The following is a 17,770-nucleotide window of genomic DNA, read 5'->3' as shown; positions in this document are numbered from 1 at the left end:
TTAGCCGGGATGGTCTCGATCTCCTGACCTCGTGATCCGCCCGCCTCGGCCTCCCAAAGTGCTGGGATTACAGGCGTGAGCCACCGCGCCCGGCCCAGAAATTCTTAAAAGGATGCAATTGGATATCCCTGACTTCCCCTTTCACTCTCACCTCCCCCATTGTACCCCTCCAATAGTTCTGCAAGCCACATCCACCTCCATTCTGGCAGTCTCCTTAGTCTGAAAGACTGTGATTGTCCCATCAGATGAGTTCTATTAAACATGGGCCCCCATCCATTCAGAAGTACCAACTTCTATTCCACACGCCATGTCCATTTGACAAGAGAGAAGTGGATTAATTAACGTGGTGGGTCTGTCTTCTACCTCACTGTCTTGTGCTGCAATGGAGACCAAGAAAAATCCATTACATTATACTTGGAGATAGCTGAAAGAAAGTTTAGATTAAGTTTATCTCTCAAGGCAATTTTATTAGATAGATTAAGTTTCTGTTCATATCTCTGAAGACCGTAGTAATAACCAGTGTCATGACTTTCAAATCCTTTCGACTGCAGAGGGTAATCAAACATGGTTGTCTTTTTATCCCTCTCCTTTACTTGTTAGTATTCTACAATACTGACTCGTTCATCTGTCAGAGGGATGGTATTAAGGGGATCAATGTTGACAAGTGATAGTACAAATTATGTAATGCTGATGACATTTCACTATCTCCTTTTGATCTGCAATTCCCACTCTCAATCACTCCTTATTTTATGAAAACTATTGAAAGAGAAAGGCAGCTGTGGATGCCATTGACTTCAGTCCTTAAGCCCCAGGGGTAAAGCAGGGTGAATTTGAAGAGTAGAGGAGGTTTCTGAATTAGACATGGGGCCTGGGAAGATGGCCTGACTGACAGAAGGGGAAATTGAGGTCATCTTCCTACAACAGGCCTTTGACAGCTACCACTTGGGACCACATGACTGTAGTCCCACGAAATATTTGACATGTTAGGCCCATGCTGGTTATGGACTTTCTGTCTCAAGCATATATCCTTTGACTTCTCCTCCATAGGGAATTCCACCCTTCCTTTTGGGGAATTGATGGACGATAATTTAAAAGGAAGAACTGAACTGGTTTTGTATGAAGAGTGGAAGATTAGAATGACAAGTACAGGGGTGGGAGTGGCTATCTTCCCTGGTGTGGGGGGAGTACTACGTTTTGGACCAAGCAACAGATAACTAAATAAGAAGAAACATGTTCAAAGCACAGCAGAAGACACTTTTGTGGGGAAGGGGAACACATCTTCCTTCCTCACAATGCTTCCTTTCTCATGAAAGAATCTTTGCTAGTGTAATCCCCTAGACATTCTCCCTGCTCTATCGATGCATCTCTCTTTATAAACCTAAAGGAGAATGGCTATTCACAAACGTGGGTTCTGAATTGAGAGAGGTATGCCACTTTCTGGTTGGGACCTCAGATAGTTGCTTAATTTCAGCGAATCATGGTTTTCTCATTTGCAAAATAAGAATAATAGCACCAAACTTGCAGGGATGCTATAACTCATAAAACAGTAGAGTCCAGAGTCTTCCAACTTCTCAGGTACTTACTAGGAGAGTTCATAAAATTTTATGAAAACATCTCCTGTGGAGTCAGATTTGGTCTAGGGCTTTACCTGATTCCTGTGATCTGATACATGTCATATGACCAATAAAATCTTTTATGCTTCTTTCAGCCAAATGGACTTTGCCTTCATTTACTTCATGACACTGGTCATGAAGGGCTACAGTAATGGATGGGTGGGATGAGGTTTGATGGCTTTAGCATAATTTACTTGCCTAACTCTTTCAGTACATTCATTTATTTCAAAAATATTCATTAATCACATACTATGAATTAGTGCTTTTCCAGGCATTGAGGATTTAATGATCAGTAACACATATAAAATCTTGATTGTTGCAGTTGGTCAGTTCATTGATGGAATTAGCCTTGTTTCATGCATGTTGGTATTTCTATGACCTGTCACGTTATCTGGAGCACAATGGGCACTCAAAAAATGTTTCTTGAATAAATGGATAGACAAATGCATACAAACCATTTATATCCTTCCTAACCACCAATACTGGGTTGCAGAGAGACTGAGTCATTACTGGGAAAGTTTCTCAAGACATGAGAAAACACTGTTGCTCAAGACCAGCAGTGAAGGCTAGGAGGAAGAAATAGGATTTAAGACCACATTTCACCACGAGGTATTCTTCAGAAAGTAAAATAAAAACAAATAGAATTTTATGAATCTATTTTTGCCTATGGCCTGGAAAAGCCCTTATGTCAAAAATCCCCACCTCTAAATTATGCTTTGTCTTCCCATTATAAATTTTATTAACCACTCTTTTATTAGCAATCTTATTACAGTTGATCTGCACATGAACAGAAACAATTTACAAATGATCAGGGTTGGATTAGAGAAACCATAAACTCAATGCAAATTGTTACAAATTATTTACTGGCTTAGCACAAATCTGCATATAGATTGAAGAAGTCAATCAGAAAGGCACCTTCAGGTATTCTTCACAGGATATGATTGTAAAGATAGTTGCAGACTGGTATGCGTCGTATGGAATAGAAATGAAAATAAATAGATTCATTTGTCGAATACACTTAGGTGTGGGTCTTCTCGTTTAATCAGAACTTTGGAGCACTGGATATCTGGGAAAATTTAAAAAGGGGAAATGGGAGGGGGTTGGAAGTGGGATTACTATAAATATAAGGTCAGGACTCAGAGGCATATAGAGGAATTTTGGAAAAACAAAAAATGGAAATATTGACCCAGCACATAGAGAATATTTTTTATGTTTAATTTCGTTAATCTTCCAGCAACTCTATGAAACAGGGAGACCATTATTTCTGTTTCTCAGGTGGAGGAACTGAGGTTTCTCAGCATGGCCAAGGTCACACAGAGATCACGGCTTGGATCTGAAACCTCTACCTCCACATCTGAGGAACCATCAATGAAAGCATGGCCTGTGTTATTGGAGTTGTTTCTGTTTTGTGAGGGAGGGGTGCAGGTTCTTGGGAATAGTTCTGAAGTCCTAACTCTCTGCCAGCACCATAACACTTGAATAAATCCAGATTACCCCTTTACTTCTCCTTTAGTTGACGGGGTGGAATAATTTAATGCAAAGAATTCAGGGCTGGGCAACTGGAGGAAAAAGCTCTTCTATCCAACTTGCTATAGGACCTTGAACAATTATTTTCTCCTCTTTGGGGCTTGGCTTACTTTGGTTGGGGGACAATATTAGATTTCTCTAAGCTCTTTATATGTTTACTTTAAACTCTTTATATGTTACTTTTGGCTCAGGGCCAAAAAATGTGACTACTTATGTATCCTCTACAGACCCATATTATTCCTTTGGCAAAAGGGGAGTTGGACAAAGCTGAAGCTCCCATTCCCTACTCCCACCTCTCGGAGCTGCATTCTGTCTCCTCTCTAGCATTTCACAGTTCCCTTCTCTCAATCAAAAACTTTTCTCAGGTCATTTTTCAATCCTAGTAACTCAATTCTTTGCCCAGGGATATTCGGCTTTTAACAAAGATCAGAATCTTCATCCAAATGATAAAACACTTAATGGTGATATTTCGGATCTTTCCATTAAATGGGGAAGGTTTTTGGCAACCCGGGGCCTTCTCAGAGCCCTGAAAATTCAACTACATCTGCAGTTATTTATTCTTTTAGATTCCAAGGCTAATGTTGTGGATCTTTGGGGATGGGGTGGAGATGATGTGTTACCATTTCACTTTTTCCATGCAGGATAAAGTTTTTTCTTTTCTACTTCCTGCTGTTGCATGGTGTCAACAATAAGTATAAGAAATGCTAAAACGAGAGACGTTCTCTACCTTCTGCTTCCTTACCAGCTGTGGGACTCATCTCACCGCGTGTGAAAAAAGAGCATCATCACTATATGAATAGTAACAAGAGGTACATTTTTTAGATGCTTCCCATGCATGGGTCAGGCATGACTCAGAGCCTTGTGTGCTCTATTTTACTGAATGCTCACAACAACCAATAGATCTGATATTCTGTTATCACCTCATTTTACAGACTAGAAAAATACGGATTTGGGAGGATAATTTGTCTAATTGCATACAACTATGAATTAGAAGAGATGAGTCTATCTCAGTTCTGTTTGACTTCAAAATCTATATCCTTAACTAATAAACTATGTTCATCGTAGGAGTTTGAAACATATGGAACAGGATCAGGCAGCTTTTCTAGATCTTTTCCATCTCAAAGATAGAATTGATAAAGTTTCACAGTTACTTAGACAGTATCTGGTCCAACGCCCCATTTTGCAGAGAAAGAAACTGGGGCAATAAAACAGGGATTTTTATAAATATATATGAAGATGGCGGCATTAGGAATAACATTGGGAGCAATAGGGAAATGGCTAGGCATTAAACCTTGACTCTTCTCTCCAGAGGCAGACACTCACACATCGTTAGGAATGCCATGCACTGCACAACTCTAGGGGGCACCACTTGCATTGGCCATGTGGTGGTAGACTGTCCCCTCTCCTTTCATTCTCCCTACTCTGTCATATAAGGCTAGAGTATTTTCTTATCTTCCTATAATTTTATTTCATAACAATTTCAAAGGTAGAAGAGAGCCAGCATTCCTTTTTTTATCTTCTTTTTTTTTTTTCCTTTTTCCTAAAACAGAAGCTGAGAGCTTGCAGAGACTGGGTTGCTGGCATCAATGGGTTTGGAGAATGCTAGCGAATCAATCAGGATCTGCACTGTGAATGCCTGGCATGGATTTTTTTCTCTTTCTTTTCATTCTTTGTGTGGGGGGTGTGTGTGTGTGTGTGCACAGGAAACTTTGGTGCTTTTCCACCAGCAAAGGACTCAGGAGCCTGAAGCTTGAAGTAATTAAACAGCGGCAGTATAAACTGTACTCAGGCTTGCTTTGTACATGAATCTCCTCTTTTGCTCTATTAACAAACGCCCCACTAGCTCTGTGCTCTGCATTCATTAAACACCCTGCACCTGGGATGTTTCAGAGCCTGCTGACATGGACTCCCTCAGAGTGCAATCCAGAGTTTGGGGCCCATAAGGGAATTCCATGCTGCTGTTAGCAATCTTTTAGGCTGCTCTGAGGTTATGCAGAATAAACTTAGCAAAGTCAATAGGACCTCTGCAGGGACTTCTGATGTGGTACCCACGCCTATGACTTTGTTCCTCTCAAAATGCTCAGCCCAAGTCCTCAGGAGTTGAATTCGGATAAAATTGAAAGGTAAACTAGTTATACTGGGGACATTTGAGCTTTTGTGGTTTGACTTGTGTCAGCATTTCCCAACAAAATCGAGTTCTTTGGGGATTTTGAGATCTGCTTTAAATGTCTTTTTTCATCCTTATTATTATTCTGTCTAGTTCTGAATCTAGCTCCATTACAGGTTCTGATATTTGGACAAAATAAACTTCATTGCCACTCTCATCATGTGTGGCTCAGGTGTAAATATATTTATTACAGATGCACACATACTCTTTCATAAGAAAACAAACACTCATGGATTCTGTATTTGTTCAAGATGGTTTTAGTTGTAAGTGACAGAAACACAAATCAAACTGGTCAAAAGGAAATTTAGAGATTTGTGTAGGTGAGAAGTTTGAGGGCGGGTCTAATTGCAGACTGATTTTGTGTTGGTAGGACTTTGTCTCTCTGGCTCTCCATCTCCCACCTCTGCTTGCTTCAGCCTCTTTTTTTTTTTTTTTTTTTTTTTTAATTTTTATTTTACTTTAAGTACCGGGATACATGGGCAGAATGTTCAGGTTTGTTACATAGGTATACGTGTGCCATGGTGGTTTGCTGCACCTATCAACCCGTCATCTAGGTTTTAAGCCTCACATGCGTTAGGTATTTGTCCTAATGCTCTCCCTCCCCTTGTTCCCCACCCCCAACGGGCACTCGTGTGTGTTGTTCCCCTCCCTGTGTCCATGTGACCTCATTGTTCAATTCCCACTTATGAGTGGGAACATACGGTGTTTGATTTTCTGTTCATGTGTTAGTTTGCTGAGGATGATGGCTTCCAGCCTCATCCATGTCTCTGCAAAGAACATGATCTCATTCTTTTCATGGTTGCATAGTATTCCGTGGGGTATATGTGCCACATTTTCTTTATCCAGTCTGTCACTGATGGGCATTTGGGTTGGTTCCATATCTTTGCTATTGTAAATAACAGCCTGCCATTTTCTTCAAAGAGGAAATCACTCCATGGTAGGCAAGATGGCTACCAGTAGCCATGGAGTAGAAAATGCCCTTATCTCAACATTCATCTCAGGGGAGAATGATTGGCCTTGCCTGGGATCATGTGCCAACCCTGAGCCAATCACAACAGCTGTGGGTGGGATCAGGGATTGGTCCGGGTCTCACACCTAGGGAGTGTGATTCGCAGCTCTTCCAGCACCACAGGAAGTGGAGAGCCGAATCCCTGTTGCATCCTGGCTGTGTGCCTGAGCAATGTCCTTTTCAGTTTCACTGCTTTGTAGTTTCTTCAACTGTGGAAGTGGTGGCATACTACTCATCTCACAGGCATTATCAAGGATTAAAGGAAATAATGATATGTATAATAACCACTTATTGAGGAGCACTGATGATAGACACCAGACACTTAATAGACACTTTCTTATTTACCTTTTATTCACAGCCCAATCCACAAGCTGGTCATCCTGAGAACTTGTGGATTGGGATGTGAATAAAAGGGTCCATTGCTCAAATATCTGTGCAAAGGAGCAGAGTTCCTGACTAGAGAACTACTCAGAGTCTTTAGCATGAATATCCCCAAACCGATTGCCAAACCAGTTTTAACCAGGGAGCTTTTTGGTCGTGGATCTTCTTAAGATAACTGCTGCTCCACATGACCCAGTTGTAGAAGCATGCTGTTTATATTTGAAAGTCTAAGTCCTAAATAAAGGCAGACCATGGAGCTTTGTACATGGCTTGCCTTGTTTTGGCTACTTCTAACTAGTTGTACTAAATTTCTTGTTAATAAGCTAATAAGCTTTATTATGAAATAATAAAAGTAAATTAGTTAATATTCAAATTAAAGCCAGCTAATGGATTTATTGTGGATATGATTAAGGTCATAAAATGGTGTTCCCATCAGGATAAACTGCTCTCAGGCTTTAGTACCAGGAGACTGGAACCTCACTCAAGCAGCTGGCTAATTTATAATTTTCTGGAAACAGTTTCCCTCTTTGCTTTGGCTGCCAGGAAGCTCAAAGTCAAATGTTGGCCCTACTTCTAGCAAGTGCACAGAACTTGTGTTATGCATTTTGTGTATTACTTTATCCTTGGCTGTATTTCTACTTTTTATATTACCTTTTTTCTAATTTTAAACATTACCTATGTTCATGTTGTTTTACTTCTGTAGGTGTCTCAGATCTTTGTGGAGTTGAGATGGGCCTCTGAAAATAAATAAATAAAATTAAACAAATGCAGGTGGGATCTCAGGGGCCTTTTTCTGTAAAGATAATGTTGGCTGTGCTAATGCCCTTTCTCCTTCACTGCTAATGTCTTGGCTTTGCTTGGTGCCACTTGTTCAATTATAGTGCCAAGCTCCCGTTTTACAAGGCTTCCTTTGAGCACATCTAATCAGAAACTGCTCCTCACTGCAGTCTCTTTGTTCACTGACTGGAAACTTAAATGCCTCACTTTGCCTAATAAATAAGCCAGGGGCTCAAACTTGGCCTTAGCATTTACTTAGAAAATGGAACTGGCGAAGCTCTGAAGCACATGCATAGCCAAGGCCATTGGAAGGTCAGGCATCTGTCAGGTATTTCAGGAAGGTTGTATACTGCCCCATTTCCTCCCACATTTATTGGGCATTTTTTTTTTTCTAGAGCTCTCTGGGCTTGCTCTTAGCTTGGCACAGACAGCATTGGGTAAATCTACTGGTGTAGGGATGAACGGGTGACTCACTACCAGGTGACTCATGGCTCTTGCATGTGGGCTAAAATGTGTGACGTGGAAGGCTGAGTTAAGTCTAAGTGACCATCTGTGAAGTTTTGGTTACTTTTATCCACCTGCTTTTTCTGCATTGAACATTATTAGGTAGCAACTATCAAAGGGGTATAAAACAGTGAGCCATATCCATTATAAAGAGGCCATGATCTGAAAGTAGCCCCATGCTGTTTCCCATCTTGGGCTCAAATTCTGGCTTCATTGTTATTCACAGTGTGACCTTGGAGAGTTTTCTTAAGTCTCCAAGTTTCAATTTCCTCATTTATAAAGTAGGGACATTCTTAGCCCCTCCCTTAGTATTAGTGTAAAATCACTGAGATTGTGCCTTTGCACACAAAGTCTATTCACAAGTTCAGTGATCTGTGAATAGACTGAATATTTACTTCCTCTACAAAATCTGTTTGTTGAAACCTAACCCACAATATGATAGCATTTGGAGGTCGGATCTTTGGGCAGTAGGTAGGTCATGAGGGTCGAGCTCTCATGGGTGCTGTTAGTGTCCTTATGAAAGAGACCTCAGAGAACTCCCATGCCCTTTCCACCATGTGAGGGCACAGTGAAAAGTTGGCCATCTATGAATCAAAACATAGGCCCTCACCATACACTGAATCTGCTGGGGCCTTGATCTTGGACTTCCCAGACTCTAGAACTGTAAGAAATAGATGTCTGCTGTTGATAAGCCACCCAGTCTATGGCATTTTGTTATAGAAGGCCAAACAGACTAAGACATGCCTTTTCTCCTCTTCACCCCCAATTTACCTAGTTGACTTCTTTCTGCTCCCTCTTTAGCTCTTGGTTTAGGATATGTTTCCTTGTGTGAAGACTTCCTTGATCTTTCTGACTGAAGCATATCTCTTATCATAAATTTTCATCATCATACTCTGCATCCTTCTCCCTGATACCTGTCAGAGTTGCATTTTGACATTTGGTTGTATGATTATTTAGTATCTGTCTCTCCCAGGAGACTGTAAACTCCATGGGGGCAGGCACTGGGTTGTCTTCTGTTCCCTTGTGTCCTCAGTGCTTTCCTCTGGGATGAGCTCATAGTGTAACTCAAAATAGAGTGAACAGTAATTAATGAATAAAGATGGTATGTGGATGGTGTTGCTCAGAATCTGCAGAGGAGACAGAGGAAGGTGCTAACTTGAGCATCTAGCAACATTTACCATGTATGACTCCATTCACACATTGCTATAAATAAATACCTGAGACTGGGTAAGTTATAAGAAAACAGATTTAATTGGCTCATGATTCCAATTAAAGGAAGCATGATGCTGGCATATGCCCAGCTTCTGGGAAGGCCTCAGGGAGCTTTTACTTATACTGGAAGCCAAAGCTGGAGCGGCCATCTTCATATGGCCAAAGATGGAGGAAGAGAGAAGGGGGAGGTGCTACACGCTTTTAAACAACAAGATCCCACAATAACTCACTCACTGTCATGAGAACAGCACTGAGGGGATGGTGCTAACCCATTCGTGAGAACTCCACCCCCGTGATCCACTCACCTCCCACCAGGCCCCACCTCTAACACTAGGGATTACAGTTCTACATGAGATTTGGTGGGGACACAGATCCAAACCGTATCATACTACAAACCAGATATGGTACTATGTGCTTTACCTAGGTCAACAGATTTAAATTTCAACACAAACCACCTTGAGGCAGGAGTTGTGTTGTGTTCATCTTGTATCCCCAGAGCCATGTTGAACATACATGTTAGGTCCAATGAATGTTGCTTGCATTAAAAATTTAAATAAATGAGCAAACGGACCTTCATGACACATATGGAGGTAGAAAGTCACCTACCAAAGATTTTCAGCATTGCTAGGATGGAGGTCTGAGTCCTCTTTCTGTCTCATTTCTTGGCGGTACCAGGCTAAAAATTGACAGCTTCTAATTAGACATGCCTCCACCCCTACCTCTTGCTCAACCACAGCCTATGAGAGTTGGTGTGCTCTTTATTTATTATACATGTCTGCATATTGAGATAATTGGGTTGTAGAATATTGCATGCAGACTAATCTGAGAATGATTTCTGCTGAATAGAAATTACTTATTTTGATTCCTCGGGGGTTTGTTTTGTCAAAACTCATGTAGTATTTAGGAAAGTAATCATTGTTCAATTGCCGAGCACAGGAAGAGTAAAATTATCCTAATAAGACAGAAAAGAATGCAGAGAATGACTGTTGCTGACCTCATCAACTTGATTAGTGATGGTGTTTCATCACCTTCTCAAGGCCTAACCTCAAACGCTGCCCGTGAAGATCACCATGTACCTCTTTATCTCACTGGCCCTAATGAGATATGCAATTTGTCATATGGTTGTTCAGCCGGAATAGAAACAAAAAAAAATACAGAAGAAAGAGGGTATTTCTGATTTTCATAAGAGAACTACTCAATCACACATTTATAGCTAAACTAGAAGGGTAGTTTTGAAAGCCAGAAGCCTGGGTTTTCCATATATAGATACATGCTCTGTGACCTTGACTTAGTTACTTAACCTCCCTGAACCCCAGTTCTTCATCTGTCTGATGGAGTTAGTAATAATACCTACCTTATGTTAGCTTCTTGTAGTCAAGAATCTGTTTTGTTCATCTGCCTCATTCAAGAGGGTCATCAACCATTTGGCCCTTCTTGCTTTGCAGGAAGCTTTGAAGTAAAACATACCCTTGTGGAAATTTTGGGGCAACCTATACAAAAAGTACCCATGCAGTTTTCCTTCGGCATCTTCATGTGTAAATAAGAAATAGAAACACAGGTAATAAAAGTGCTTCCTATGAATTATCTCCTTGCACACATGTGAGGACACTCAGAGGTGGGTTGAAGAGACATGCTCAAGGTCACACATTCAAGGTCACACAGGGAGAATGTGGGATTCAACATCAGGTCCCAGTTTTTATATTTCTTTCTGTTCCTCTGACTGGTGCTGATAATACGGGGCTGTTATGATGACCCAGAAGAAGCTGTTTCTTTTTTATATCTAATGAAAGTTGAGGCCCTATGTCTGAATAACCTACCACCATGGTAGGTGCAGGAGTGGTTAAGAGGATGAGCTCTGGAATTGCAAAGCCTGCATTGGAATCTTGGCTCTGGTTTTGTTTAGGTATGTGAATGTAGGCAAGAACTTAACCTGTCTGTGGAGGGTTAGAATGAGGATTTCAAATTCTCTGATGCTATGTCATTGAGGTGTGTGCTCAAGGTTCCTTTCCCTTGCATCTAGGTAGACTTCCAATGGTTAAAGTAGATGTTGGTTTAGGAGATGTTTCCTTGTGTGAAGACTTCCTTGATCTTTTTGATTGAAGCATATCTCTTATCGTAAGTTCTCATCATACTCTGCATCCTTCTGCCTGACACCTGTGACAGTTGCATTTTGACATTTACTTGTATGATTATTTAGTGTCTGTCTCTCCTAGGAGACTTTAAGCTCCATGAGGGCAGGCAGTGGGTTGTGTTCTGTTCACCCTTGTGGCCCCAGTGCTTTCCTCTGGGAAGAGCTCATAGTGTAGCTCAATACAGAGTGAACAATGAAGATGAAGTTGTAACAGGCAAAGTGTCTGCTGCTGGCCTACTCGAAGGTCTCCATGCTGTGAGGAGGCTCAGATACTTGGAGAGACCACCTGTCATTATTCCATTTGACAGCTCCAGCTGATCTGGGCCTTCAAGTCTCCCCAGCCAAGTGTCAGATGTGAGTGAAGATCCTCCAATTATTTCCAGATATCAGCCACTGGAGTCACCTCAGCCAGTCACATCTTCCCAGCTGAATCCCTCAGTGTGATGGAACAGAGACACACCATGCCTGCTGTGCCCTGTTTGAATTTCTAACCTATCAAATCTATGAGGATTGAAAAATGGTTGTTTCACACAATTTGTTTTAGGGTTGCTTGTAACGCAGCAAGAGTAACTAGAACCCAGGCTAAGTCTCAAAATCCTCATCCACATGATAGAGGTAATAATAATGTCATTCTTACAGGAGAGTTGAGAACCAGAAGTTGAAGAGCTTAACATCGTATCTTACACATAGTAAGTCCTCAACAAATGTGGATGATAAATAATGTTACTACATAATAGTATCATTAGCATCGTCTAATAATTTGGCCATTGAGTATGGGAGTTAGGAAACCTGGGACACCACCCAGGCTGGTGTGTTGTAACTGAGACAGGGGCTGCAGCCTGTGGGCAAAGAAGCAATACCGGCTGTCAGAAGCTTTTGTTCTGCCTCTACCTCCTGGGAAATAATGTGGCTTCCATAAATGTCGAGGGCAAGCAAAACCAGAGTATTTGCTATGATTCCAAAAGTTTTCAGAGGAGGCAACTTCAATTCCTTTACAAACTGCACAGTCCTAAATTATCACTAACATGGTACTGAGTGAGGAAATTTCATGCCTCTAAGTCTCCCCCTCCAATTGCCATGTTAACAAACTCCAGCAAGTTGGTCTGTTTGTTCTATGCAGCAGGAAACTCAGCTGGGGACATAACTGGCAACTTGTGCTCTCTTTCCTCCCTCCTCTGACTTCCACGGGCCCCCGATGGAGTCTCTTGACACTTCTCAGCCTCAGGAGTGGGCTTCTGGATCTTTTCCCCATCCAGGTATTTTTTTTTTAAGTGAATACTTTCTAAACATTTACTATGTGTCAAACAGTGTTCTAAATGTGTTCTATGCATTCTCTCACTGAATCTTTGCAACAACCCATTCTTTTCATGCCCATTTTAAAGATGAGGAAGCTGAGGCTTGGTGAGAAAAAGCAACCTTGCCAAAGCTACGAAATTATGGAGTTCGAAAGTGCGGGAAACTGACTCAGCTCCAGAGATTAGAATTGTTTTAGACTCTGCATGCTGACTCTTGATGTGAGACACTTAACTCTTCTCCCACCCCACATCCTTCATAGAGGTGACTTCTGGTCTGACGAGGGATGTTATTCATCTCTTCAGTCCCTTGAGTTTAGTTCAGGACCATGCCAACAGAAAATGTTGGACAAAGTGTTAGTCCAATGAACGGGCGCAAGGGAGACCACCGCAGTGATGTGACTGAAACAGGGACTCCTAGTTGAAAGCATGAATTATTTTTTAGGGTCCAGGGCCTTTGAGGAGACATCTTAGTTGTTGGGACAACCTTAGTGGAATTGCAATAAGAAAATACAAAGTGAGAGGCAAAGGGTTACTGAAGGTTACTGTCAGCATATCTCATGGGAGTCCCGAATTGTAACCTCTCATTGAGTCAGGAACTGGGATTTGGAGAGACAGCACGACTCAGCTTCCTCATATTTAAAATGGGCATGAAAAGAATGAGTTGTTGCAAAGATTCAGCAAGAAAATGCATAGAACACATTTAGAATACTGTTTGACACATAGTAAATGTTTAGAAAATATTCACTTAAAAAATACCTTTAAGTTCTTTTGTCCTATCTCCTGAAGGAAAGGTCCTTGTAACAGATCAATAGAACAACTGACGTTTTTTTCCCATCATCTTCCGTTTATGACTCTCTCTGAATATCTGATTAATTTTTTCTCCCTTTACAGGGGAGAAAATCTTTTTTTTTTTTTTTTTTTGCGTTTTTCTCTTCTTTGCTCATTCTATGGACATAGGATGACCTCCAGAGTTTTCCCATCTTGGTTCAAGTCCCAGTTTCAAATTTCAGAGAGAAAGCCTAACTTCTCAAATTGGTTGTGATGTTCCTTGCTAGTCTGATGTCCAGTTGCCTGAGGCGGTGAGGGATAGGATGCTGAGTATAAATATGGTGGCCAGAAACCCTGCTCCCAAAGTTGAGGGAAAAATTGAGGGGGGAAAACACACCCAAATGTGAATACCAAGGGCTACTGCATCAATTTCTAACTAGATCTGACCTAATGATATCTGAGTTAGGGGGTAAGAAAATAGCTGGCTTAAATTCGCCCCTCTTTGCGATAGAAATGTGTCTTGAGAAATGTGGTGCCCGAGGAGGAGGCCCTTCAAAACCAGCCATGATCAGCTGAGAAACTGGGACATTTGGGTGGGACCATAATATAAAATTAATTTAAAATTAGTTTCTTACCCTAGGGATACATGGCAATTTGTGGACAGTTGTCAAGTATTACTCTTAGGGAATGCTTTGAGAGGAAAAATTCTTTGGCAGGGCATGGTGATTCATGCCTGTAATTCCAGCACTTTGGGAGGCCGAGGGATGATCCCTTGAGTCTGGGAATTCAAGACCAGCCTGGGCACCATAGTGGGACCCTCATATTTACAAAAAAAAAAATTTTTAAAAATCACTCAGACATGGTCGTGCACACCTGTAATCCCAGCATAAAAAAAAAGTATTTGACGACAGGAACTGTGTTCACCACTGTAATCTCAGTCTACCCTCATGCCTGGAGTGTGGCAGGTATGTATATTAGACAAACAGGAATTTATTTATGAGGCACTACTGTACTCCAGGCTCTAATACCAGGCGCATATATATATATATATATATATATATATATATATATATATATATTTTTTTTTTTTTTTTTTTTTTTTTTTTTTTTTTTTTTTTTTTTTTTGAGATGGAGTCTCGCTCTGTCACCCAGGCTAGAGTGCAGTGGTGCGATCTCGGCTCACTGCAAGCTCCACCCCCCACATTCACGCCATTCTCCTGCCTCATCCTCCCGAGTAGCTGGGACTACAGGTGCCTGCCACCACGCCTGGCTAATTTTTTTGTATTTTTAGTAGAGACAGGATTTCACCATGTTAGCCAGGATGGTCTCGATCTCCTGAAATCATGATCCACCGCCTCAGCCTCCCAAAGTGCTAGGATTACAGGCGTGAGCCACCGTGCCTGGCCACAGGACCTTATGAGTCCAGGTTTTTCTTCCCACTTTATAGATTAAAAATGGGAAGCTCAGAGAATTTAAGGAAGTCAACCAAAATAAGAATTAGTAAATTATGAGATTTACATCTTGGTTTATCCGACTCTGTATCCTGGTCTCTGTTTGTTACTCCACAGAATCTCTCTGATCCAAAATCAATGTCCTGCAGAGTAAGAAAAATACAAAGTGATTTATCTTCCATGACAATTTCTGGAGGAGGTGCGGGACCTCCAGGTACCTGAGCACCAACACGAGGGAATGTGGATAGAGATCTGGTCTTAATTAAGTTGGGCTCTCATCAGGGATGCCTCGGTGCTTTGGCTCTGGGAGTGAAAAGCCATGCATACCTAAGAGCTCAGGGTAAACACAGTGGCCACCAAGGCTGGTTCCTCCATCAGCAGGAAGTCTAAAAAGGCAAGTTCAATTCTGATGAAGGCAATACACCCAGAGGGCAGAGAGTGCTGCTCTGCAAATGATCAGAGCTATATCAGAGAAAGGAAGGATGGTCAGAAAGGATGCCAGAACACCAGGGACCAGATGGGAAGAAAATGTGTTCGTATGCAGTGGCCCAGGGTCCAGGGAAGACTGAAGCTTACCAGATGTGATGAGAATTAAAACCACCAGCCTGTGTCTTTGAAAGCATTACCCAGGCACTCATGCTGCCATTCTTCTACGATACTCCTTTTTCTCGAAGCTTTTTCAATTTCTTTACATTGTGCTGAGATACACACGAGTGAATTTGCCCTGGGCCAGTTCCTTGAGAAAGACCTGATTCTTCAGTGGGCTTCAGAGTGACTCTTTAGAAGCTATTATCAAACCAATTCATCATCCAGGGAAACATATTTATGCAATCGTTCTGGTTGGCTGGGTAATTTTTGCTTAAGTTACAATGGGGGGCAGGAAGGATTAGGAAAGTAATATTTGTTTGGTCTCATAACACTGATTGTTTTCTTAAGTGCTGTATTTGGTATGGTAGGATTGCAATTGATCAAATAAGCCAGTAATAAGTATGTGGCTTCTGAGAGTCAGTCTCCATGTAGGTAAAATCATGACAGTCATCCATAGCTCAAAGGATTGTCACAAAGATTATACCAGGTAGTGGCTCATGGTGGTTCTCAAACTAACTGGGCTTCTTTCCATATGCATTTATTTTATGTAATACTTATATAATATTGACTAGGTGTTAGACACATTACAGATATTAACTCACTCAACACTCATACCCACTCTTGCAAGTAGATATTGTCACTGCCTTTGTGAAATGAAGAGACAGAAGAACAAAGATGTTAAGCAATTTACTACTCATGTTAGTAATTTAGCTAGTAAGTAGCAAAGCTGAGTTTTTTTTTCTTTTCTTTTTGAGACAGGGTTTTGCTTTGTCCTCCCTGTTGGAGGACAGTTGGAGAGCAGTGGAGCAATCACAGCTCACTGCACTGTCCACTTCCCAGGCTCAAGCAATCCTGCTTCACCCTCCCGAGTAACTGGGACTACAGGGACACACCACCATGCCTAGCTATTTTTTTTTTTATAAAATTGTTTTTGGTGGAGATAGAGTCTTTCAACCTGGACAGCGTCTCATACTAGAGTTCATGCTCTAACCACTCTGCTATGCCAACTTGATGAGTTACCCTGCTCTGAGCCCACGGTCCCTTAAGGTGTGCTTTGTGTGTGCAGGGCTGGGAAGGCTTCCAGAGGGGAACACTTGAAGGCAAATGAGATATTCTTGGGGTCCACCTCCACAGATGCTCCGATTTCTAAGAAGCATCTCATTTCAGTGTGCTCAAATGACTTTGAGGCATGTGTTCACACCTTTCCCTGAAGTTTTCCTGTGGAATTAAGCTTTAGTTATCTGCTGTGGAAATTGGCTTGTTAATTTACCTTTTACTGTCTGCCTTCCCCCCAGTATGATTTCCTCTCTTTCCTTCCATTGTTCCATGAACTTTCTGAAAAACAACCTGTGCTCAGATTATTGTCTCAAGGGTCTGCTTCTGGGAGAACCCAAACAAAGACATGCTCCAATTCTGCCTTGACACTCAGTCTTTCCATCCCAAAGAGTCCTGAGTGAGGAAAAGTACAGTATGTGCAAAAAGCAACAGCTAAATGGGAAAGAAAGTACTGCTTTTAAATAGCCGGGTAAGCACCCAGTACTCCCCAGTGCATGGCGGTAAAACACTAGATGGGGAATGTGGATTCAGGCTGGAGGAGGGTTTATTGAGGTCCCCTGGTTGCTATTTCCTGTCTAGATGTGCTGACAATACGGGGGTGGAAAGCAGAGTAAGTTCCACTCGAGAAAGCAAACCATTAAGAAACAGTAACCACATCCAGTAGTGAACGTGGCTCAGTGGATTTATAGGGCCCAGAACAATCAGACTAGTAACTCCTCCTCTCTTAAGGGAGCCAGCTAGAGGTCTGAGCTATGAACTCACTCCCTAAAGGGGCTGAGGACCTGAGGTGCATGCTCAAACTTGCCTTGGTTTATTTTCTTTCTCTTGTTCCTCTTTAGTGTTTTGGTGGTCATTGATTTGCCTGTTTAACCTCTTTAAATATCAGTTTTCTCACCTATGCAATGAAAACAATATTACCCACTTTCTAGACTTGTGAGTATTCATGAAATATATACAAAGCATTTCTTGTGCTGCCTGGGACACAGCAAGCATGGAACACATGTGATTTATTTATTTATTTGCCATTTCTAAATTGTCACTGTCCTCATTGTCATGAGATGCTGAGTTCATTTTCTCTAGTAGCATTTCTTAGCTTCTTGGTGGGTGTGATTGCAAAGGAATTAAATAGTACTCTTAGGATTTTTGCAATTTGGTCTCTGTTGCCTATTGGTGAGGTGTCTGAAACATGTATTTTTTCACATTAATGCATTGCTCCTATATGTCACAAATTGTGAAGAAGCCACAAAAATGGAAACAAGCATAATGCTGCTGATGATGATGACAATGACAA

General features: G+C 41.5%; 1 annotated feature.

The window, feature by feature from the left end:
- Nucleotides 7,760-8,395: an enhancer, noted in NCBI's record as "OCT4-NANOG-H3K27ac hESC enhancer chr16:8420345-8420980 (GRCh37/hg19 assembly coordinates)". NCBI's record gives its function as "activates a minimal SCP1, AML or CMV promoter by ChIP-STARR-seq in primed H9 embryonic stem cells {active_cell/tissue: H9 hESC(primed)}" and the evidence as "EXISTENCE:reporter gene assay evidence [ECO:0000049][PMID:30033119]".

Source organism: Homo sapiens, chromosome 16 (assembly GCF_000001405.40).
Source record: "Homo sapiens chromosome 16, GRCh38.p14 Primary Assembly".
Lineage (NCBI taxonomy): Eukaryota > Metazoa > Chordata > Mammalia > Primates > Hominidae > Homo > Homo sapiens.
This window is presented reverse-complemented; position numbering and strand designations above follow the sequence as displayed.